The 24,189-nt window shown below is 39.9% G+C and overlaps 1 protein-coding gene across 8 annotated transcripts in view; it reads left to right on the top strand.

Moving 5' to 3' along the window:
* The window catches only part of GPR176 (G protein-coupled receptor 176), a 121,259-nt gene that overhangs the window by 89,561 nt on the left and 7,509 nt on the right, over nt 1–24,189 (top strand). For 3 of the 8 annotated variants that reach the window (NM_007223.3, XM_017021873.3, XM_011521167.4), the window contains one exon: nt 23,448–23,700. The exons of 1 other annotated variant lie outside the window; for it this stretch is intronic. In NM_007223.3, coding sequence (NP_009154.1) covers nt 23,448–23,700 — 253 coding nt within the window. Of the gene's footprint in view, nt 1–1,429; nt 1,626–23,080; nt 23,139–23,447; nt 23,701–24,189 lie in introns of those variants that run through there. 4 more of the 8 variants (XM_017021874.3, XM_024449835.2, NM_001271854.2 and 1 more) reach the window with 3 other exon arrangements.

The raw sequence follows: 24,189 nt of genomic DNA, 5'->3' as shown, positions 1-24,189 counted from the left end.
GAACATTTTTGCTTTTTCTATTTTGCATAGCTGCAGCTATTAACATTTAGCACACAGAGTAGAGTCACTTTAATTGGCAACTCATCTGCTGACTCTCACTTTTTTCTTCAAAGTGATTCTAGCCTCTGGCCTCACTAAACTCCTTGCTATTGCCATATCCATGCTGTGCAACTTGCCTGCATGCCCAGGGTGCTCCCTCTTCCAGTCCTGTCTCTCTCTTTTGTCTGCCTGGTCTTCCAGCCAAGACTCAGATCAAGTGTATCCTCTTGTGGTGTTCCACCTCCCACTCCAGCCCATTGGGTCCTCCTTCCTCTTCCCATATATTCCTCCATCATTTGTTTAGTAAATACTTATCTATCTATATGTCAAACTCGTTTGTCAACTCCTTGAGATTTTGTCTTGTTTATTTTTGTAAACCTGGTACTTAGCTCAGAGCCTTGCAGTCTAATAAATTAATAAATGTTTGTTGAATAAGTAAACTATTTTTGTTATTCTCTTATACACAGCTCATTGATTGTTCAGTATCAAAGAGTAGTAGTTTGTAACTCTTAATTAAGTCAGAAAAATGAACAAATGCTGATAATATGTTCTTAGCACTACCTTAGGATTTTCTTCATACTAGTTGTCTTATGATGCAGAATACACACGGTGATTTGAATTCTGTGAATTAGTCACAGATTTATTTAGCTAACTGGTTGGGAATGTGTATATATATATTTATATAAATTAAATTATATAATTATAACAGTACTGGTATTAAGAATATACAAAGTTATTTGAGTTGTTCTAGACAGAGAAGATAAAATATACTTTCCAATTAACACATATCACCCATCCTTGTGTGAACCTCGCAGCTTTAGGTAGTAGAACAACTTAGAGAAAAAAACTGTTGTACTCATGCCAACTCAGAGGCAGAGGCTGTCCTGTTTGGGACAGGCTTCCTCCAATTTCCCAGCTTGGAAAGGAGAGACAGGGACTGAGGAATGGGTGAATGTTGGCCTTGAGGTTGCGATTTAAAATCTTCAGATTGGAACTGTAAAGACAGATAACCAGGCGTTCAGGTGGGTGGGAACAATACCAATAAAGTGAAATCAATAAACATAAGTGTTTATAACAGAGAAAGTAGTCAAAAACAAATTAGATCATATAGATATGGTTTAGCTGTTTCTACTTTAATTTTAAACCATAGTCTGTTAAGCAACTAATGGTCTCAAGTCCTTTCTGGATGTGTCCCCAAGCCCACCCTTTGTTCCTGAGATGACTCACTTTTCCCTGTAGATCCTGCAACCTCACTCTACAGGGCTTTCCTAGATTTGACCTCAGAGCATTGTGAGCTCCTTGTGTCCTGCGCACACATTGCCCCCATGGAACTTTGGCATTCTTTGTGACCTCATGGCTTTCTTACTCTCACCAAGTTCTTTCCCTGATCCATTCTGATGCCCGAGTCCAAGTGGCTTTTCCAGCGACACATCTTTGGTCTTTGTTCTCAGTGTTGGGGGTTGCGTTGTGAGGTGTTGTCTCTTCATGAGAAGGCAGTGTGACGTAGTGATCACATCCCAGGCTCTGGAGTTCAACTGCTTCTGTCTGAATGCCAGCTCCACTGCTTCTTATTTCTAGAACTTTGGGTAATTAACCTTTCAGTGCCTCAATTTCCTTATTTTTAAAATGGGATAGAATAGTACCTAACTCATTGAGTTCTTGCAAATATCACATGATACGCATACTTAGACAATAAGTATTCACTAAATTCTGGCTAGTAGTATCATTCTTTCTAATGTTAGCACACTAAATCTACTTACATTCCAGCTACTCCAGCATGGACATACCGTTCCACATACACTGTGACGGGGAGGACAGTTTTGCTGTACTGTAAACTCATCCAAGCCAAAGAGCCTCTGCCCTGAAGTTCACACTGTGGTGAAAGCAGTAGTTTGTTTCCAGGGCTTTGCCTGTGAGGTGTGCCAATGTCTCCTGAAACTCTTATTGATTCTCTTGGTGCTTTATAACAACGGCAGGTTTTTTTATTTTATTGGAGCAGAGGAAAATCACACTTTTCTGATTACTTGTCCTGCTCCCTGAGTGAATCAAAAGAAACCACGTCTGGCACCTTTGATCTCTGCTGGTAAAGCTGCTCTCTCAGCCAGTGATGCTGATTCTTTGACCCCTTGGCAATCCCTGTTGGCGGCCCCTCCAGCTGGCAGAGGGCCAACTCAGTGCTTGTGCTAATCCCCAAAGAACCAGGAAGGAAACCTGAGCAGCATCCTAAGTAGCACTGGCCTCAGGCAGCAGTCAATGTATGTGCCCCATCAGCCCCTCCACGCAGTGTCTTTTCCTCTCTTTTGGTTCTCCTTCCTAGACAACATGTTAGTGTCAACGAGATGCATGTCAGTCAGGCCATGAGCCGGAGGCCTTTCCTCCTGCCTTTCCCACACAGACACCTACCTGTCCTAGTTAAGATGGTTCTGTCAGCTTGCTGTCGGGGCTGGAAAGCAACCACAGCATTTTCTCTCCCACCTCTGGGTATTAAGGGCTGAAAAACAACTTCAGGAATATTTGTATTTTAACAACAGACTTTTAGAAATAGAAAAATTAATCCCTAAAGATGACATTTTCACCACCAGGCTAGCTAGGGGTGGAAAGTTGTCTATTTCATAAACAAATTAAGTCACACATTTATTATACCATCTCCCAATACCACTTCAGTTGAGATAATCCATGTTGACAGCCTAGGATGTAGCCTTCCACATATTTCTCTGTGTACCCATAGGGACATGCCACAATTTATCCTAATGATGGACATTCAGATTGTTTTCATTTGAGAGTCACTGTCAACAACCCTTCAACAAACACATTTGAACACACAACTTTATACATTGATTCTTTTATTTGTAGGATAGTTTTACAAAAGTAGGATTGTGCAAGGTACATGCATTTAATATTAGATTGGTGCAAAAGTGATTGTGTTTTTTTCCATTAAAAGTAATGACAAAAACCACAATTGCACCAATCTAATAGATACTGCCAACCTACCTTTCAGATATCTGTAGCAATCTACCTGTCCACTGTAAAATAAAAATAAAATTCTAAGCTCCCCAACTGACTGAATGGACCTTCTTTGGCCAAGGGGACCCCAGAGTAACCTTGAAAACTGAGTTCTTGGCCACAGTGGGATAGAAGAAGATGGGGCATGCTTCCTTATGCCCTCTCCTTCATTAACTTCTATTAGACTTTCTTCTCTAAGGGTTCAACAGAAACTAACTCTTTCAAAAGACTCCACACTGATATCAACTAACAACCTCATGCCGCCCCTCCTTTTTTGCCTGATAAGAGACCACTGACCATGGAGTGGCTCTGGCCAGTCTGGAGAGGGCACAGTAAAGCCCTACATGTACTCTGCTTCACCTTTTGACAGCAGAGGGCTGAAAACTCCACCCTTAGATCATGCTAATGCTGCTATTTTTGTCACATGAGACCCATGAAAGGGCATGAAGCTCAACTGCATGTGCGTACATTTCTCCTTTCATATATATTCATGCTCCTCCTATAGCTTGTTGAATATGTATATTTGAGCACATTGTTTAGCATAAATTCCTGTTCCTTTTTTCCCCTCCCTTGAAGTATCTGTTTTTAGCATAGCCTCCAGCCTGTCAAAATGGCACCCTGAAGGCTTCAACCCTTTGTGAGAAATAAAGCTCCCCTTTGCAAATGTATGAACCTCGTCATTCTTCAGTGGACACCACCCAAAACATATAAGGATGCTTATATCTTCATACCTTTTAATACTTGATCATATTATTATTATTGTTATTCTGCCAAGCAGTGGTGGAAAGTTTTTTGCATTTTTCCCCATTTCATTAGGATACACTGTGTCAGTGGTCAGGGTTCTTCCTTGGAGGCTGACTCTGATGGCATCTTTGGGACTGTTTTCAGGCCCCCTCTGGCTTCTGTTTACTCCAGGCAAGAGCTGAAGAAGCAGCTTCAATGAGCAGGTTGGATTTTAATCATAGGAGCTGATGTGTGCTGTATGAATTTAAAATAATCAAAAAGATGGGTTTCAAGCAAATGGCATTTGAAAAGGTTACATTAATGTAGAGGAAAGAATAGCTAATGTGTGTTCACAGTTGCTAGGGGCATTGTGGCTTTGCCCAGCTCTGCAATGGTCACCTTGCTGTGCCCTGCACACTGCACAACATGCAGGAGCCCCCTGTAGGTGGGGAGGACCTTCTACTCAGCTATCCATATTTCTCAGTGGTCCCCCTTTCCTGAGGTTTTCTGTGACTTTTAAGCACCCCTGGGGTCCTGTCTTTACTCCAGTTGGAAATCTCTCAACCTTGTTCCAGAAGTGGACCCCTTTTCAGTGTGCTTTGCTGAGTTGTGAATGGGTTTTTCTAGAAGTGACTTTCCATTTCTACTTCTAGCCTTCACTGTCAATTCCCTCATCTGCTGCCCTGCTCCAGCTTGCCCAGATGGCATGTCTCTCGGATAAGAATTTCAGCACAATCCTGGGGAGTTATTTGTTGTGGATTGAAGCTTTCCTCTGAGGCATAAGCTTGCTTTTGTTTCCCTCTCCTGGCACACTGTCCTTCTCATCCTGCATGCTATGAAATAGGCATCCCAGAGCAGTGCGTGCTCACACCCTCTTAGGGGTTCTTCCCCCATAACGGCAGTGAATGTGATGTGAGAGACAGGGCTCTGAGGTAAGAGGATCTGCTTGACTCACTTAGACCTGTTGCTGCACTTATGGTGGACTCAGAGAACCATCCAACCCTGAACCAGCTGGATTACTTTTCAGAAATGTTATAGTAATGCATTTGGAAAAGCATATGCCATAAAAATGATGCCTCATCCATGAAGCACTGGGTACTGGGCACAGGACTACTCCTTCTGGGTCTCCACCAAGCTTCTCATCCACTGATTGGCAAAAATCAGTGAGATGTGATAGCACCTGCTGCAGGCAGGAATTTTTGGGGAAAAGGCTCTACAAATATTGCTGGCGGAAATGAGAAATCAATATCACAGATATAAAAACACCAGAAAATAAGCATATTTATATACAATTTTTTTTGTTTATAATGGCAAAAACCCATGAACAAGGCGAGTGCCCATTTGTAGGACAAAGGCTGAATAAATTGTAATATATTCACACTGTGGAATAGGGAGATTTTTCCCATTATGTAATGCATATATATAAAATAAAATTATATTTTTACAAAATAATAATACCATATGTCTGTAAATACAATGTAAATGTTTATATATGATGAAATAATGATAATGGAGAAAGGTATATTCACATTATATATATAAGAAGATGGTATCCACAAAGAACAGCATGTGTAAATGATAGGCCACTTACATAAAATTAAGTATATAAGTGTATATATTCACAGAGACATGTATGAAAAAGTGAAGACCAGAATATTTACCATGCTTTTCTTAAGATGGTGGGATTTCAGGTAATTTTTCTTTCTTCCTATACTTCTCTAAACCTTTTTTCTTTTTTTGAAACAGACTCTTACTCTGTTGCCCAGACTGGAGTGCAGTGATCGTGGCTCACTGAGGCCCTGGCCTCCTGGTCTCAAGTGATCCTCGTATCTCAGCCTCCCAAGTAGCTGGGACTATAGGCATGTGCCACCAAGCCTGGATAATTTTTCTTTATTTTTTATAGGGACAGGGTCTCCCTGTGTTGCCTAGGCTGGTCTCAAATTCCTGGACTCAAGTAGTCCTCCCACTTTGGCCTCCCAAAGTGCTGGGATTACAGGCATGAGCCACCACATCCAGCCTGAACCATTGTAACAGTAAACATGTATTAGTTTAAAAAAAAATCAGGAAGAAACTAAAACTGTTTTCATTGTGAAAAAGCAGAGGGGTAGAGGGATAAAATGTTGAGCTTGTGGATATGTAGCTCAGCATCTTGTTTCTGGGTTCCCCTCAAACTTGGAATCCAACTAGGATCCTACATAACTAGTAAGCATGGAGCTAGTGGAAATATGCTTCCCAATGTTCATTTGCTTTTTCATTTTTTTCCAGTTAACAAATACATATTTAGTGTTCATGGTTACCAGATACTGTTCTAGGCATTGGGGCTATAGTGGTAAAAATATCTGATGAGATCCCTACCTTCATAAAACTTACAGTTTAGTGGAGATTGGCAGAGATAGTTGACTAATCCTCAATATAATAATTGCTACAAACAAGAAATAATCAGTATGATGAGAACTGAAGCCAGGCAGGCCTGATGTGCATTGGTGGTTCTGGTGGTGAGGGAGGGTTTCTTGGAAGAAGACCTAAAAAGTGAGGTAAACTTAGTGAGGATGAGGTAGAGGGCAGAAGGAACGGTTGTTTGGGGGTCTGGGAAGCCTCCTTTGTTACTCAGTTTGCATTACTATAAAATACTACCTCAGACTAGGTAATTTAAAAAGAAAAGAGGTTTATTTGGCTCACAGTTCTGCAGGCTATACATGAAGCATTGTGCCAGCATCTGCTTCTGGCCTCAGGAAGCTTGCAGTCATGGCAGAAGGCGAAGGGGAGCCAGACAGCATGTCACATGGCGAGACACAGAGCAAGAGGGAGAGAAGGAAGTGCCAGGCTCTTTTAAACAACCAATTCTTGTGTGAACCACCAGAGTGAGAACTCATTCATTACCATGGGGATGGCACCGGGCCATTCATAAGGGATCCACCCCCATGACTCAAACATCTCCTACTAGGCCCCACTTCTAACAATGGAGGCCACATTTCAACATGAGATTTGGAGAGGACATGCATCCAAACCATATCAGCCACCCAGGCAGAGGAGAACTTTGAAGTTTTAGGGATTCAAGTGAAGGCCCATGGGGCTGCTACTCTCCCTTGTCCGTAGGATAGCAGTACTCTAGGGGGCACCATTCACATTCAAAGTCATAGACTTGTCATCTATTGTAAGGAGCAGGAAGGGACAGCTTTCCTAATTCTCACAGTCTAGCGGTGGGCAGGCTAGACTTTTGGTTTTTCCCTTTACAAACAATGGGAAGGCAATGGAAGTTTCAAGAAGGGGAGTGATGTTCCTAACTGCTGTTAAAATTGTTGGTCTGGTTGTGGTGTGGAGAATGTGTTAGATGGGCTGGAGGAGCAGTGTGGGGAGACCAGCGAGGAGCTGCAGCAGTGGAGGTGAGGGTGACAGGCCAGAGTGGTGCTAGTGGGGATGGAGAGAAGCAGCTGCATTATGCATTTATTCTGTAGGTAGAGTTGACAGGACTAAATATTGCATTGGATGTGGGGCCAAGTGATAAGAAGGTGGCAAGGATTCCCATGTTTCTAACATGAGCAACCAGGGGGATGGAGGTATCATTTTCTGAGATGGATAATATTGGAGGAGGAAGAGTTTTGGGAAAGGTCAAATGCTTAGGTTGGACATGTTAAGTCCAAGATGATTGTGAGAGTCCAAAGTAAAGAAGTCAAGTGGGCATATGGATATCTGGTTGGCTTATGGATATTTGGGTCTATAGCTCAGATAAGAGGTAAAGTGGAACAATACACATGAAAGTTATTAAAATTTCACCTAAAATAGTCTAGAGAAGAGGATAGCATGAGAAGGGTCAAGACTGGGGCCTGAAGAAGGAAGAGAAGCCAGCAAAAAATACTGAGAAATAGCCAAAGCAGTAGCAGGGAAACCAGAAGAGCGTACTCTGGACATAAGTGTTGCTGGAAGTTTCTAATGTCCAACTGGGAACAGACCAAGGCCTTCGAATGATCTGGTTAAGGTCATCCCATAGGCTAAAGGTAAATGCTACCATCCTTGAGTCCTCATTGCCATCCCATAGGCCTAGCCCTCAGTGTTAGTGACTGATGTGCCTTGACTGTGGCTTTTATGGTGTTTCCAACAGCTACTTATCAGGGAAAAATCACGGTTGGACAGTCAAGGAGCTACATTTTCTGATTTCATTAATTTTACTGATGGAAAGAAGTTAAGCTGATAAAATTATTTTAAGAACTATTAATTGTTTAGGTTTTGGTGTTCTTTATATTTCTTAGAAAGTCAGAGAATAAAAAGGAGATTTACTTTGAAGAGTTAAAAGAGCTTAAAGTTTACATGATTTTTTAAAATTTGTTTTCTTAAAGGAAGGGTAAGTAAAATCTGACACTGAGAAAACATTATTTTGTGGTTGCTCAGTAACTACTGTGATGCCTTTTATGACTTAGAAATAAGTCTCACTAATTTATAGTTTCATGATGATCAGCAAAATAAAGCTCACAAATAATAATGCTTTGTGATATTATAGTTATTTAACACCTGTAATGAGTGAGGCAGTGTTTGGCACTTTTTATATATCTCATTTAATACGACAGCTCTAAAAGGTAAATTTTATCATTTTCATTCTGAAGATGAAAGAAGTAAGAGTCTATGCAAAGTGTCTAAGTAGTAGACCTCAACACATAGCAGCTTAAAGCAACAGTTATTATCTCATAATTTCTGTAGATCAGGAATTTAGGAACAGCTTAGCTGGGTATTTCTGGGTCAAGGTGTCTCATAAGGTTGCATCAAGATGTTGGCCAGAGCTGTGGCCACCTGAAGGCATGAGTGGGGCTGGAGGATCCACTTCCAAGTTGGTGCATTCACATGGCTGTTGGCAGGAGGCCCCAGTTCCTTACCACATGAGCCTCTTCATAGGACTGCTTGGGTTTCCTCAAGACGTGTCATTTGGCTTTCCCCAGAGCAAGTGATTCAAAAGAGATGAGGACAGAAGTAGCAATGCCTTTTGTGACCTAGCCTTGGAAATCTCACAGACATTTCTGTCATGTCCTATTGTTTACACATATCGACTTCATTGACTATGGGAGAGGCCCACACAGGGATGTGAAGATCATTGACCATCTTAGAGGCTGATGAAGAGGGGCTTACAATATTTGCTTTTGCCAGAACTCTTAACAGTTAGCAAAAATAGCTTTTCTTTCTGTTACATAAGACTTACATAATCTTATCTGGAAACAAGGAAGGTGTAGATAACTTTTCCAGGTTCCTTCCATCCATATGAGTATATAAAATCTATTTGGTGTTGTAGATTACCTTCTTACCCCTATTACAAAATTTCAGAGTTCTTTACTGGAAAAATAATTTAAAGAGTTGCAGCATGTCACTGATCTTTGCATATATGCTCACTTTTGTTTCCTTACTTAGGGTAATATTAAAATTTATTGGCTAATATTTATCATCCAGTGATCAGTCTTTTGTTGTGGTATTTGCATACTTAAGCCTTTATAAGAATAACACCAAGGGCAAGACTAATGGAAACTGTGGCTTAATGAAAATGAACAGATTTATATTTTATATTATTTGCTTCATCCACATTGAGTCAGTGACATTGATTGCACTGTGAAAGCCAATATTTTACAAACTGAGAAAGTAGAAAATCGATCTTTCCCAGGATAGAAAATTCTTTCCCTTGCATTTTGTTTTATAATGAGAAAATAAGAGGTCACATCTCCTCATTGATCTTACTGCATTAAACAGGCTAATAGCATTTTCAAAATTGCATTATTTTGAACCAGCAGGAAAATTACATGGTAAATAACTCAATGTTATTCAAATCAACTAATATTAGAGTAAAAATGCAGGAATTGGAAACTGATTATTCATGAAATGCTAAAATGTTAGGCGAATTCTCTGCGTATCTGTGTCACTGTGGCCATCACCATCATGAATCTTGGATGCTTAGAAAATGTTACAAAGCAAAGAAACCTTTTGTCCAGTTTTCAGCAACGTGACTAATGAAGATTCAGGCACAGAAAGTCTCCGTTGCTTAAAGTCACTGGGAAATGCTTATACAAAATAGCGCTTAGCATGGGGAGAGAAATGGAACTGAAATAAGTCTCCCTGTTGTTTTGCTCTCTATTTCTGCCCTCTTCTCTTCCACTCTCTCCATGTTTACTTGAGGGAGGGCTGAAGAAGAAAAGAGAGAAAAGCAAGTATTAGGATTTGCTTTCCAAAAGGTGTTGTTTCTGCCCACCCACATGCACTTCATTACAGACAAGTACTTCCAAAATCATGTTACATCTGCAAAGCCCTTACATACACTTTGCCAGTTTAGTTCTTACCTCAAAAGGAATCATAGATACTCTGCTAGAATTATATATATTACTACAGATATTATTCTGGGTCTAGAATCATAGATATTCTGGGTCTAGGCCAGAGTGTCTTAGTTATCAAGTTCCTTCCATGCTACCATTGTGCCAATCTGTTATTTTGTTTACTTTGCCCCTCTCCCTCCTTCCTACAGAGCTCTAGGCTCCCAGCATTCTGTTTGAGCATTTATTCCATTCTCTTATTGAGCTGGCTGGCTCTCATGGCCTGTGAGCTATAACTCATCCTTTCAGGTCAGAGCAAGGTTAAGTGTTCTATTCTTGACCTTGCTGTGACCTTCGATGATCCATCACTTCCTTCCAGAGCCTTCCCTGTCTTGGCCAGCTATCTCCTGCCTCGTCCTGGATCTGGCTACCCCCAGCTCTTGCCCTATCTGCTATTCTGGCTCTCCCAGCTCCTCACTGCGCAAACACTCCTCTCCTGCTGGCCTTCTCCTTCCTTGCAGGGACAGGAGAAAGTGGTGAAGGACACACAGGAGGTCTGCTCTAGAGCAATTTAACCTCCTCAGTAGTGGGAGAGTGTCCCAAATCTGTTAGAAGAATTGGAATGCCATTTCTAGCTCCTTACCCTCAGGCCTCTCCTTTTTCTCCTGCCTTGCCTACTAAATTCAGCTATAGAAAAATGAATGATATTTTCAGCTTTTAATTAATGTCATTGTCAGATTGTGTCAGATCATAAGGAGTAAGAAGCTTTCATTTCCAAAATCTTATTTCTCCAGTTCACATCAGCTATGCTAGGTCCCAGTGGACTGAAGCACGATCAGGCTCACTTTCCTTTCTTAGTCCTCTAATTATCGTACCCTTGGGGTCTTTGGAAATATTTCCAACATATTTTTTCCTTTCAGACTGCATAATTATAGTTACTGGGACAGAGGGAGTAGAATAGAGTGCATGAGTATTCCCTGTACGTTCACTAGACTAATTACAGTGTAGCATGATGTATCATTGTTGAATACATCTCTCTAAGCAGCTCTGACACTGTGTGTTGGCAATGGGAAGATAGTAAACATTCAGCTTGTTGGTTGAAGGTAGTTCTCATCAGTAGGTATAGTTATAAAAGTGAGTACACAGGAAAAAATGATGATGCTGTTAAGTTATATTAAACTTCAGGTTTTAATTTATTCATCTATTTAGGTCTTTATGAAGCAACCCCTAGATATAAAACCATGTCTGGTGCTAATGAGGGTTGACAGAGTTTTCAGATAAGGTTCTTTTCAGGCTCCTTAATCTTACAATATGCAAGGGGAGAAATAACCCATGAAGCCTAAGTGCAATGTGAATGGTGCAGAAGATATGGACCCTGCCTTTTGCATGAGTAATTTAATATAGGCAAGGGCCTGTTGGTAAGATAGCCTGTGTAGTAGATATTTAAGACAGTGAGCTGTTGCACGTCCACTCCATCAAGCGTGGCTTGTTTGGATGCTGGTCCAAAGGGAGCATGCTTAACAATGGGTAGAGTTAGGTAAAACTTTTCCTTCTTTTCTCTGGAAGTTTTCTCCATATACCTATAGAAAGGGAAGTAGGGAAGTGGAACCTGTTGCTATTAAAGGGTTTCAACACTGTCACAGCTAAGTAGGGCTGATGATTTCAAGGCTCTTGCTATAGCTTTTCAGAGAATAATGTGCTTCTCAAGGAGGTTAATAGACCTAATATGAGCAACCAGAGAGAAAGCATCTTGTGAAGCCGTGAAAGTTTTCCAGTTGATTTATATGGAAAAAATTCAAGTCACTGAAAATATAAGGAGGAGAGTTATCAATTCAGATTCTGACTGTGTTTTTCTTCTTACTTTATGGCTCCGTATCTATGTTGCTGTGTGTTGAGAGACGTGAATGACTAATTTCAGGGGCTTTGTGAATTCCATGAGAGAGCCCCAAGGATGGGGCAGACTTGACTGTGGTCGCTGAAATAGTTTTGTTTTGATCGTGCTGTACAGTTTGCCTTACCCTTTGGGATACCATTATTGCTAAAAGATATGCGCATTTGTTGTAGACTCACCTAAAATCCATTGTGTGGCCTCACAGGAGCTGACTGGATGAAGCTATTGTTGGAGTCTCTTTATATATTCTTATATATTACAGAAGTGAATCTTGCTAATATTTTATCTGCATTATTCTTTGGGAACAAGTATTCTGAGAAGAAACATCCATAGGGGATATATATTTCTTAAGATGCTTTTCATTCAAAGTAATTATTTAATATTCACCATGAATTTTAATGAACTTACTACATAGCTTCTTCCTGTTAATTCAACTCCTGCTTAGTTTGAACTTTCTGCATCATTTCAGAAAAAATCCTCTGGAATCAAATTAATTGTAGCTAAAATAACATGATTTTCTCATGCCAATAGCAATCAGCTTAAACTGAGTTGGGCAGGTATTAGTTTAATCATAAGTTACAGCAAACTGACACTTCTTTAGTGAGGAAGAGGCTCAAACTTTTAGACTGGCAGGAAGAGCAAATTGTACTGAACACTGCCAGGCATAGCCCTATGGCTGCAAGCTGGTTTTCCCCTACATTCTTTGGCCATAATTCTTCTGATACCAGTAGCAAAAATCCTCAAATCAAAAAACTTCTTATCACTCTGTCAACACTGACTCTCTGGTCACTTGGAAAATGTATCTGCATAGATTAAAGAACAATATTGTTAAAAAATCAAAGTAAGATAGAATCCTTTTTAGAGCTATTTAGAACTTTTTAGAACTATTTGCTTTGGAAGTGTGAACTATGAAACTCAGTTGTTTAATGTTGGTTCCCCACCCGCCGTCATACTCCCTGCTCCACAGAGCTTAACAGTGCCTTTTTTTGAACTCTCCAGGTATCATTTGACTTCTCTACGCTGAGGAGTTCTGTATTCCTATCTTGTCTTTCCCTCGCTCTCTCTCTTGCTCTCTCTCTTACTCTTTCTAATTCTCTTTGGAGGTTTTGCTTGGGCAGCAGCTGTAAGGACTCAGAGAAAAACATGAATTTGACCTTTAGATTTCCAGGATTATCCCATTCCATCACGATGCTGCAACGTTAGTTAGTAGGTGTGCGGGTAGCCAGGGGTTATATCTTAAAGGGTGTTGTATGATGTTGAGAAGTTTAAACTTGTTTTATTTTAACGGCAGTAGGGAACCATTGAATCCCTTTAGTGAAATCAATCAAGTTACTTTTGTACCTCTGCTATTCTTCAATATGGATTTAAGTGTCAGTCTCACAAATAATGAATATTCTCTGGCAATATTTATGTATTTATTTACAAATAATGAATACATAACCAACTCTTTTCAAAAATAAGTGTCATAGTGAAACTACATTTGAATTATACCTAAACAAATAGAGCAGTGCCCTCAGATATTCAGGAATGCTTTCACTGCTTTCTAGTGATGGTGGCAAAAAATGGAATAGTTTTTTTCCGTCTTGATTAAAATTTTTAGTTGCTCATCCTGTGAGCCTAAATGCACAAGGGCGCTTGCTGGCTACCTACTGGGAACATGTCTTGGATTGATTAATGTTTTTCAAAGCTTTTTTTTTTTTTTTGAGACAGAATCCTGCTCTGTTACCAAGGCTGGAGTCCAGTGTTGTGATCATAGCTCACTGTAGCCTCCAACTCCTAGACTCAGGTGATCCTACTGCCTCTGCCTCCTAAGAGGCTGGGACTACAGGTGCATGCCACCACACCAGGCTAAGCTTTCTTATTTTTAATTTTTATTTTTGGTAGAAATGAGGTCTTGCTATGTTGACCAGGTGGGTCTTGAACTCCTGGCCTCAAGCAATCCTCCTGCCTTGGCTTCCCAAAATGCTGGGATTACAGGTGTGAGCCACCACACCTGGCTGGTTGTTGTCTTTTATTAAACAAGTAACCAAGCATAGTTAGAATCATTGTTTTATTATTTGTAACATATCCTTGGTCAGATAACATTTTAGAAAACTCTTTCCATAATGATGAAATAATCTCATGGTTGTTTCAAGATGTCTAGCTAATTGGATTTAAAACACTATCAGCCAGTTATCATTACTTTGAGATTTTTACTTTTTCTTAATGAAACAATGCCAAGGTCATTGATATCTTTTTTGATTTTCATAACCTTGTGTGGTTTTTAATTCATATTGGCATTCTATTAAGGCATGTCATGTTTGTGTGCTACTGCAGGAATTCTGTTAGACATTTTATTTTGTTATTGCTTTTTAAAAATATTTTTCATTGACAAAAATGGTATATATCTGTGTTGTACAACATGTATTTTGAAATAGGTGTATAATGTGGAGTGGCTAAATCAAGCTAATTGACATGTGCATTATCTCGTATTTTTATTTGTGCTGAGAACACTTAAAATCTACATTTTAAAGCAATTGTAAATATATAATATATTGCTTACTGTAGTCACCATATTGTACAGTAGACCTCTTGAACTTATTTCTCCTAACAGAAAGTTTGTGTCCTTTGACCAGTATCTCTCCAACGCTTCGTCCTACTGGCAGCCCATTCTACACTCTGCTTCTATGATTCTGGATGTTTTAGATTCCACCTGTAAATGTGATCATGTGGTCTTTGTCTTTCTGTGCCTAGCTTATTTCATGTAATATAATCTCCTCCAGGTTCATCTGTGTTATTGCAAATGACAGGATTTCCTCCTTTTCTTAAGGCTGCAGTATTCTGTTGTGTATATATGCCATTCGTCCATTTATCCATTCATCCTTTGACAGACACAGGTTGATTCCACATCTTGGTGATCGGGAATAATGCTGCAATGGACATGGGAGTGTAGATATCTCTTTTAGATACTGATTTCATTTCCTTTGGATATATACCCAGTAGTGGGATTGCTGAATCATGGGATAGTTCTCTTGTTACTTTTTTGAGGAACCTCCCTGGTGTTTGTCATAATGGCTGTATTAATTTACATTTTCTGTGTGGTATATTGAACGTTTTATAGTAGACTTGATAGATTCTATAAGCAGGACCTATCTGGAGAAGGGATATCCTTAATCTGAGATGTTTCATGTTTGCTTTGAGTCAAGGTTGAACATTCTTGGAAAAGCAGGCCTCACAGTGGTTCCTGCCCTCTCTGCTAGAGAGAAAGAAAGGCTTTTGTGAAGTCACTGAATCCAGATGACAGCAAGGAGGAGAGAGACAACTTGTGTCTCTACAGGCCTGAAGAAGAGCACTGAGTTTGCCACAGTTGCCCAAACTTCATGGTCCCGGGGCACCCGTTCTGACCACATGAGACAATCTGATGTGATTCTGCCAGAGGAGCACCACTCAAGGGGCCTTCACAGGGCAAACCTGGGTGATTCTCCCATGGGAGACCTCAGTGTTCCATTTGGAAACTGGGGCCAGTCAGTCCTACCATGTCACATTCCTGGCTGCTTCCCAAGGCCCTCTGTCTCCCTTCTGAGCTGTCCCCTTCTGTCTCCTCTACACACAGCTCCATGTTTCTTTTCCTCTGGCCAAACCTCTCTCTTTTTCTGTCTTTCAGACCTTTTCTTGGTTCCCTCTGAAACCATGTAAATAATAGTAACAGTAACATATAACACTTAAACAGCACATACTATTCACAAGAAGCAGTTCTAAGCACTGTACATATATTACTGTATTGACTAATTTAGCCCTCACAATGCCTCTTGCACATAGACTTTGTTATTATGTTCACATTATAGATGATGACACTGAAGCACAAAGAAGGTAATTTACCCATAACCACATAGCTGGTAAGTGACAGAGCTGGGTATTGAGTCTGGGAGTTGGGTTTCAGGATCTATGTCCTTAGTTATTAAAATATTCTGCATCTCCCTAGGATAAAAATTTCGCTACAAACTTAACCTTTCTCAGAATGATCTGTCAGCCATATTGTCTTTTATTGGCTCACAAAAGTGCAACCAAGTACTAATGTGTGCTTGGCCAGCCACTTGGAACACTTCTATAGCCAGGCAATATAACCTACCACAGAAAAACAACCCCCACAGACTATGAGCTCATAATTGAATATTAGGAACCATCTGAGAAAAACTAGAAAGGAGAGCAAGCTGACCCAACAGGTGGCAAAATTAATTCTTCTAGAAGTAGATACAACAGAATAATCTGAAAGAAACCATAAGCATTTAAAAAATGATTACAGATTAACGAAGGAATGGAAGCCATAGTAAACTAACTGAATACTAGGAATAAAGAATAGGCCATTTGAAGTAGACGCAAATACAAATTTTAAATAAAAGAGGGGATGATATGATTACTTCCAGATGAATTGAGAATGGATTAAAAATTGAAGGTAAACCTGAGAAATATCACCCAGTTTTCAGAAGAGGGTGAATTGATGGAAAATAAGAATGAGTGGTTAAGAGATATAATCAATAGAATGAGGTCTGACATAAGTCTAATAAGAAATCCAGAAAAAGAGAATGAAGAGAAAGAGGCAGGATAAAATTCAAAGAGGCAATGGATGAAAATTTTCTAGAAATAGAAAGACATAAATCCTAGGATAGAGGTAACATGCACAGTTGCAAACATTTTAGTGAGGCTGCAGAACTTTTAGCACTTGGGGAAACCAACTTTCTCACATGCCATGGTTGCAAACATTTTAGTGAGGCTGCAGAACTTTTAGTGAGCATTTGGGGACACCAACTTTCTCACATGCCATTTGTGGAGAGTCCTTTGGTAATATATATTAAAAATGTGCAAGCTGTTTAACCCAGAAATTCTGCTTCTAGTAATTTATCCTCAGTAAATATTCAGTTCAATTCCCAAAGATTATATATATATATAAGGATGTTGATGTCAGCATTGTATAATAATGAAATATTGGAAACAGTTTATAAAACCCATCAATATAAAATAGATAAAATGAATTAGGGCATGACCATGAAGGCACTGTTGCCTTTATGTAGCTATTAAAATGATGATAAAAGACATCAAACCGTAGTCCTAACCAAGGTGTGTGCGTACACACACACACCCCTAGACACATCATATTTAACTACCTAGACACATCATATTTAAACTGCTATAAACCAAAGAAAGAAAATCTTGAAGGAAGGTAGAGAAAAGAAAAGACACATTATACGCAGAGAAGCAAAGGTAAGAGTCAGTAAACTTACTATCAGAAATTGTGTAATCCAGAAGACAATGGAGTGATATCTTTCAACTGCTGGGTGAAGAAACCCTCTCAACTCAGAGTATTATCCTCAGCAAAAATACTCTTTCAAAAATGAAGAAAAAAGAAAGACATTTTTCAGACAACCAAAAAGAGGGAATTCATTACTAGCAGACCTGTACTGCAAGAAATGCTCAGGGACATTCCTTAGGTGGAAAGAATGTGATACCAGACAGAAACTTGTGTCTACACAAAGAAATAAAGATCTCCAGAAATGATTGAAATGGAGGTAACTATAAAAGATTTTTTCTTATTTTTAATTACTCTAAACGTTAAATGACTACTGAAAGAAGAAATTGTAGCAATATATATTGAATTACAGTTTATATAAAAGTAAAATGTATGACAACAAAAATGTAAATATTCTAAATATACCAATTAAAAGACAGAGATTGTCAGATCAGTTTAAAAAGCTGAGAAGAGGCCCAGGCATGGTGGCTCATGCCTGTAATTCAAGCATTTTGGGAGGCTGAGGCAGGCAGATCACTTAAGCCCAGGAGTTCGAGACAAGCCTGGGCAACATAGTGAGACCCTGTCTCTACAAAAATTAGCCAAGCATGGTAGTATGCACCAGTAGTCCCAGCTACTTGGGAGGCTGAGGCAGGAGGAGCACTTGAGCCTGCGGGGAGCGGAGGTTGCAGTCAGCTGGGATCATGCCACTGCACTCCAGACTGGGCAACAGAGCAAGACCCTGTCTCAAAAAAAAAAAAAATAAAGCTTAGAAGAGAGGAATTAGGAATATACTTGTATTAGTCAGGGTTCTCTAGTGGGACAGAACTAATAGGATAGATGTATATATGAAGGGGAGTTTATTAGAAGAATTGACTCACACGATCACAAAGTGAAGTCCCACAGTAGGCCGTCTGCAAGCTGAGGAGCCAGGAAGCCAGTTCAAGTCCCAAAACCTCAAAAGTAGGGAAGCCAATAGTGCAGCCTTCAGTGTGTAGCCAAAGGTCCAAAAGCCCCTGGCAGATCACTGGTGTAAGTCCAAGAGTCCAAAAGCTGAAGAACGTGGATTCTGATATTTAAGGGCAGGAAGCATCCAGCACGGGAGAAAGATGGAGGCCAGAAGACTTAGCCTTAGCCAGTCTAGTCTTTCCACGTTTTTCTGCTGCTTTTATTCTTGCCGTGCTGGCAGCTGATTAGATTGTGGCCACCTAGATTGAAGGTGGGTCTGCCTTTCCCAGTCCACTGACTCAAATGTTAATCTCTGTTGGCAACACCCTCACAGGCACACCCAAAACCAACACTTTGCATCCTTCAATCCAGTCCAGTTGACATTTAGTATTAACCATTACAATACTGTTATAAGATTCTTATATTACATGTGAAGCAGTATAATAGTATTTGAATGTAGATTATAATTCATGATGTATGTTGTAAATATAGGCAACCACGAAAAAAAGTAAAAGAAGTATAAATAATCAGCCAACAGTGGAGATAAAATGGAATTATAAAAAATATTCAGTCACACTGTGAGCATCCTAAATCTGAAAATACAAAACTGAAATGCTCCAAAATCTGATTTTTTTTTTTTTTTTTGAGACGGAGTCTCGCTCTGTCACCCAGGCTGGAGTGCAATGGCGCAATCTCGGCTCACTGCAAGCTCCGCCTCCCAGGTTCACGCCATTCTCCTGCCTCAGCCTGCTGAGTAGCTGGGACTACAGGCACCCACTACTACGCCCGGCTAATTTTTTGTATTTTTAGTAGAGACGGGGTTTCACCATGTTCGCCAGGATGGTCTTGATCTCCTGACCTCGTGATCTGCCCGCCTTGGCCTCCCAAAGTGCTGGGATTACAGGTGTGAGCCACCACACCCCGAATCTGGAACTTTTTGAGCACCAACATGATGCTCAAATGAAATGCTCATTGAAGCATTTTGGATTTTGGATTTTTGGATTTGAGGTGCTCAACTGGTAAATATGATGCAAATATTCCAAAATCTGAAAAAGTTTGAAATTTGAAACACTTCTGATTCCATGCATTTTAGATAAGGGATACTCAACCTATAATCCTAAATCAGAAAGAGAAAAAGGAAAAAAGAACAGATGGGATCAATAGGAAACAACTGGCAGGATGGCAGATTTTAATACAACCATATCAATAATTATATTAAATGTAAATGTTCTAGCTGGGTAGAGTGGCGTGCATCTGTAGTCTCGGCCACTTGGAAGACTGAGCTAGGAAGATTACTTGCACCCAGGAGCTTGAGAGCAGCCTGGGCAATATAGTGAGATCCTGTCTCTAAAAAAAAAATTAAAATTAAAATTAAAAACACAAATATTCTAAATATACCAATTAAAAGATGGAGATTGTCAGATCAGTTAAAAAAAGCAAGAGCCAACTATATGCTGTCTATAAGAAAGCTACTTTATATATAAATGCATAGTTAGGTTAAAAGTCATTCCTGTTGTTACCTGGCATATTAGTTAAAAGCCTTTCCTAATATGCCCTTCACACAATTCTTTAAACCCAAGAGACTCTTCTTGGTTACATTTTGGACTGCAAACTGAAGCAAATAAGGCATTTAAAAATCCAGCAACACAAAGTAGTGGTTGGCTGGTTGTTTCTTCTATTATGGGGTTACTGTTACTTGTTTAAACTTTCCTCTTGCATCACAAGGTGTATACTAAGTGTAAAAGTTCCTTTGTAGGCTTTCTGACCCTTGTCGATCCACTTTGGCCTCCCTCTTGGCACAGTCTGTCATAGGCTTTTCCTTGTAATTTTATATCACCTCCACTTTGCATTAGCTTTTCTCAAGTTCTAGTTTTTAGAATGTTCTGGGTGGCATGTTATCTTTCTGTACAAGCATGGCCATGGATATTTTACTGCTTTAAGTCTCTGGGGAAGCTGGTAGTTTTCAAAGAGGTAATGTGTCTGTTTTCCCAGAAGGATTCTCAGATGCACACGATTTCCCAATGCTCTTTTGGAATATCTTTTTCATTTTAGTTACTAGTCTCTTTAACAGGCCAGAATTGTTGCTCTCAAAGATGCAAAGCCAATAAACCGGTTTAAAAGGACAACCAAAGCTAAAATTTTGCAGAGGCAAAATTTAGTTGGAAAAAGGTTCTTCATTATCAATCAAGCACTGTCTGTCAGAGTTGTGGTTAATTCACATGGCTTTGTCTTCCACATCCACTATCTTTGACTATTAAGTATATTACAGAACGAGAAGTCTTAATTTGTATTTTTTTTAACTTTTATTTAAGTTCAGGGCCACATGTGCAGGATGTGCAGGTCTGTTCCATAGGTAAACATGTGCCATGGGGGTTTGTTGTACAGATTATTTCATCACTCAGGTCTTTTTTTTTTTTTTTTGAGACGGAGTCTCACTCTGTCACCCAGGCTGGAGTGGCACGATCTCAGCTCACTGCAAGCTCCGCCTCCTGGGTTCACGCCGTTCTCCTGCCTCAGCCTCCCGAGCAGCTGGTACTATAGGCGCCCGCAACCACGCTGGGCTAATTTTTTGTATATTTAGTAGAGACGGGGTTTCACCATGTTAGCCAGGATGGTCTCGATCTCCTGACCTCGTGATCCGCCCGCCTCAGCCTCCCAAAGTGCTGGGATTACAGGCATGAGCCACCGCGCCCGGCCATCACTCAGGTCTTAAGCCTAGTATCCGTTAGTTATTTTTCTTGAGGAATGACATAGTTACAGCAGTCCCAGGGAGGGCAGACTTGTACCAATGTCACCACTCTCTACCTCTTATTTCCTTTTTGGTTGTATGGGCTGTATGTCCTAATTGTGTTGCTGTGTCCACAGCAATGGCGTTGAGTATTGTCATGGAATTAAACATTAGAAAGTATAATGGGAATACATAGGGAATTGGAATGGTTCCAGAGCTTAGATCATTTCTAGGGTAGATTAGGTGACTTAGAATGTGACCTCTAAAATAAAAAGTATATAGAGGTTGAAAATTTTGTTACTTAAATATATAATGAGTTATCCTTACTTGGTATGCCTTGTAAAACGAAGGAGAATCTGAAGTGCTAATGAGGTTAAATAATCATATAGTTATCTTGCTTTGTTGCTGTGTGGGCATGCACATGTACATGCACACGCACACACACACACACACATTTATTTTTAAATGTGTAACCAAATGGGTATTGGGTATGGGTGCTTGTATCCTGACATGTTCATCCAATTCAGGTTCTTAGAACCAAATGAGTCAGTTTTAAATGAGGAGAGAGCGAGAGCAGAGGTTTAGAGAATGGAAAGAACATAGGACTATTTAGCCTCAGGTTCTTAATAGCAGAAGAGATTAGGCTCTGCATGCTGTCTAGAGGCATATAAATAGATGGAAATAAAATGTGATTATAGCAGTCTCGGGTTTTAAAGAAATAACAGCATGAAAACAACTTTCCTCATTCATGAGCATGTAAATGCTAATAAAACCCCTCAGCAGGCTGCCCTTCACACCTGAGGACTGGTTCCCTGTGAGAGTCTGAGCATGGGGCTGTGGACTCTGTCTAAAAGTGGTTTAAAAGAAACTGTAGTCTGGGGGCCAACTGTACCAACGTGCCTGTTACAGTTGCAGGTTCCCAGTTTCATACTTATGCACTGTGATTCAGTATATCTGGTACAGTCATTCCGACGTATGGTGAGATTTGGGAACTGCTTGCTGACTTAGAATATCTTTACATGACATACATACTACAAAAGGGGTTCTCTTACCACAGGGACTTTTGATTACCGTGTGTCTGCTTATTTTACAAATTCATTTCTTCAACAAATATTTATCAAATGCCTACTCTGTGCCAGATACTGAGCTAGGCATGGAGTTACAACAGTGAACAAGATTGATACAGTTTTTCTTCATGAAATGGAGAGATAACAAGTCAACAAATGAATAATTGTGATGAGAACTATGAAGGATGCAATGGGATATGATAATGGAGCATAATGGAGGCAGGAGCAGTTAGTGTTTAAAATAAAATAATGGTTAGAGAAGGCTTTTTTGACAAGGCAGCATTTAAACTAAGACTGGGATTTAAAGTAATCAGACATATGAACAACATCCCAAGCAGTATAAGAAAATGTATACAAAGGCACTGAGGCAGGATTAGCCCTGATGTGTTTCAGGAATGGCACAAAGACTAGAGTGGCTGGAGCCCAGCAAGCCAGGGGAAGGAAGGTATGAGATTAGGCAGCAGGCATCGGAGTAGGTAAACCCTTGAGGAACATGGTGGGGATTGAGAGGGGTATCAGAAGTTTATCTGGAAAAAGGATTCTGGAGTTGAGGGGAAAACCCTACTTTAGGACATGAATTTGGGAGTCATCAGCATTTTGATGGAAAATTACCAGAATGGGTAGTCTAACGTAGGGAGAGGCTATTGAGAGAGGATAGAGGGGGCGGAGCTGTACCATGCTCTTCTGTAAAACCTGGTAAGAGTAGACTTGCAGCAGCCAAGGACTGGCGGAAGCGGGAGGGTGGAAGGAAAACCAGGAGATTGTAGGCCTGTGGAAGCCACAGAGGACAATGCTCAAAGAGAGATGATTGGTTGCATCATTGCTGCTGAAGTCTAGAACAGTGCTGTCCAGTGTGGTGGCCACTAGCTGCATGTGGCTATTGAAAGGTGACTAGTGCAAACTGAGATGTGCTGTAAGTGTAAAATAAAATGCACATTGCATTTTGAAGACTTAGTACAAAAACAACAATGAAAAATATTAATAATTTTAAAGTAATCATTACATGTTGAAATATTTGGGATCTGTTGGGTTGAATAAAAAATATTATTAAAATCTCACCTGCTTCTCTTTACTTTTTTAAAACATGGCTACCATAAATTTAAGATGACATGTGCGGTTTGCACTGTATTTCTGTTGCAGAGTTTGGCAACATGGAGGTCACTAGAAAACTTGATAAGAGCAGACTGCCTGGGATTAAGTAATAACTAGCAAATTGTTTATACACTGATGAGACTAAGCCATCGTTATAATACTATTTTGCCCAAAATTAAATAGAGAAACTCACCACTAAAATTTTTTCTAGACTTATTGATATGTGATTTAATAATTTCACATAAATTGACTGTAATGTATCATATATGTTAAATTTTAATATTAGGATTTACATTAAATCTTTTGAAATCAACTCTCAAATGTGTTTTTTACATTTTTTAACCTGTACTTTTTTCCTTTTTTTAGTTCTTAAATTTTTATTTAAATTATTTTATTTTCTTTCATATCTGACCAGGAAACTTCATGGTGTTATGGTCAACTTGCCGCACAACCGTGTTCAAATCTGTCACCAACAGGTTCATTAAAAACCTGGCCTGCTCGGGGATTTGTGCCAGCCTGGTCTGTGTGCCCTTCGACATCATCCTCAGCACCAGTCCTCACTGTTGCTGGTGGATCTACACCATGCTCTTCTGCAAGGTCGTCAAATTTTTGCACAAAGTATTCTGCTCTGTGACCATCCTCAGCTTCCCTGCTATTGCTTTGGACAGGTAAGATCAGGTAGCCAGGAGCTAACTTTTTTTTTTAAGTTGTATTAAAAAATTAGCATCATGAAGCAAATGATGAGTAGTCAATGTTCCGTATACTGCTTTTTAGTCAGCTTGTGATCAACAGAAAGGGAATAAATGTGCAAAACAGATGCCTCACAAAGGACAGGTGGATTTAGCAACAGCCATGGAAAATAAAACCATTGAGAGAAGACCTGGGGATGGGAGTTCCATGGTGAGGATGCTGGGGCAGAGCTGCTAGATCATGGTGTCAGTTCAGCTTGGTTGCAGTTGGTGGTATTTGTGTTGCAATTTGCAGTAGATTTTTCATCTGATTGATAACTCTGCAATTAGGGCTTTTTGATGCAGTATGGAACATCTCTGAAAGAACAAGGGAATGATTCAGTGGTTATTTAACAAGCGATTAGATGGTCCACTTGGATCTGGCTAGGTAACACCAGAATTCCTCTGGAGGATTTATTTCCAAGGCTT

Source organism: Homo sapiens, chromosome 15 (genome assembly GCF_000001405.40).
Source record: "Homo sapiens chromosome 15, GRCh38.p14 Primary Assembly".
Classification (NCBI taxonomy): domain Eukaryota; kingdom Metazoa; phylum Chordata; class Mammalia; order Primates; family Hominidae; genus Homo; species Homo sapiens.
This window is presented reverse-complemented; position numbering and strand designations above follow the sequence as displayed.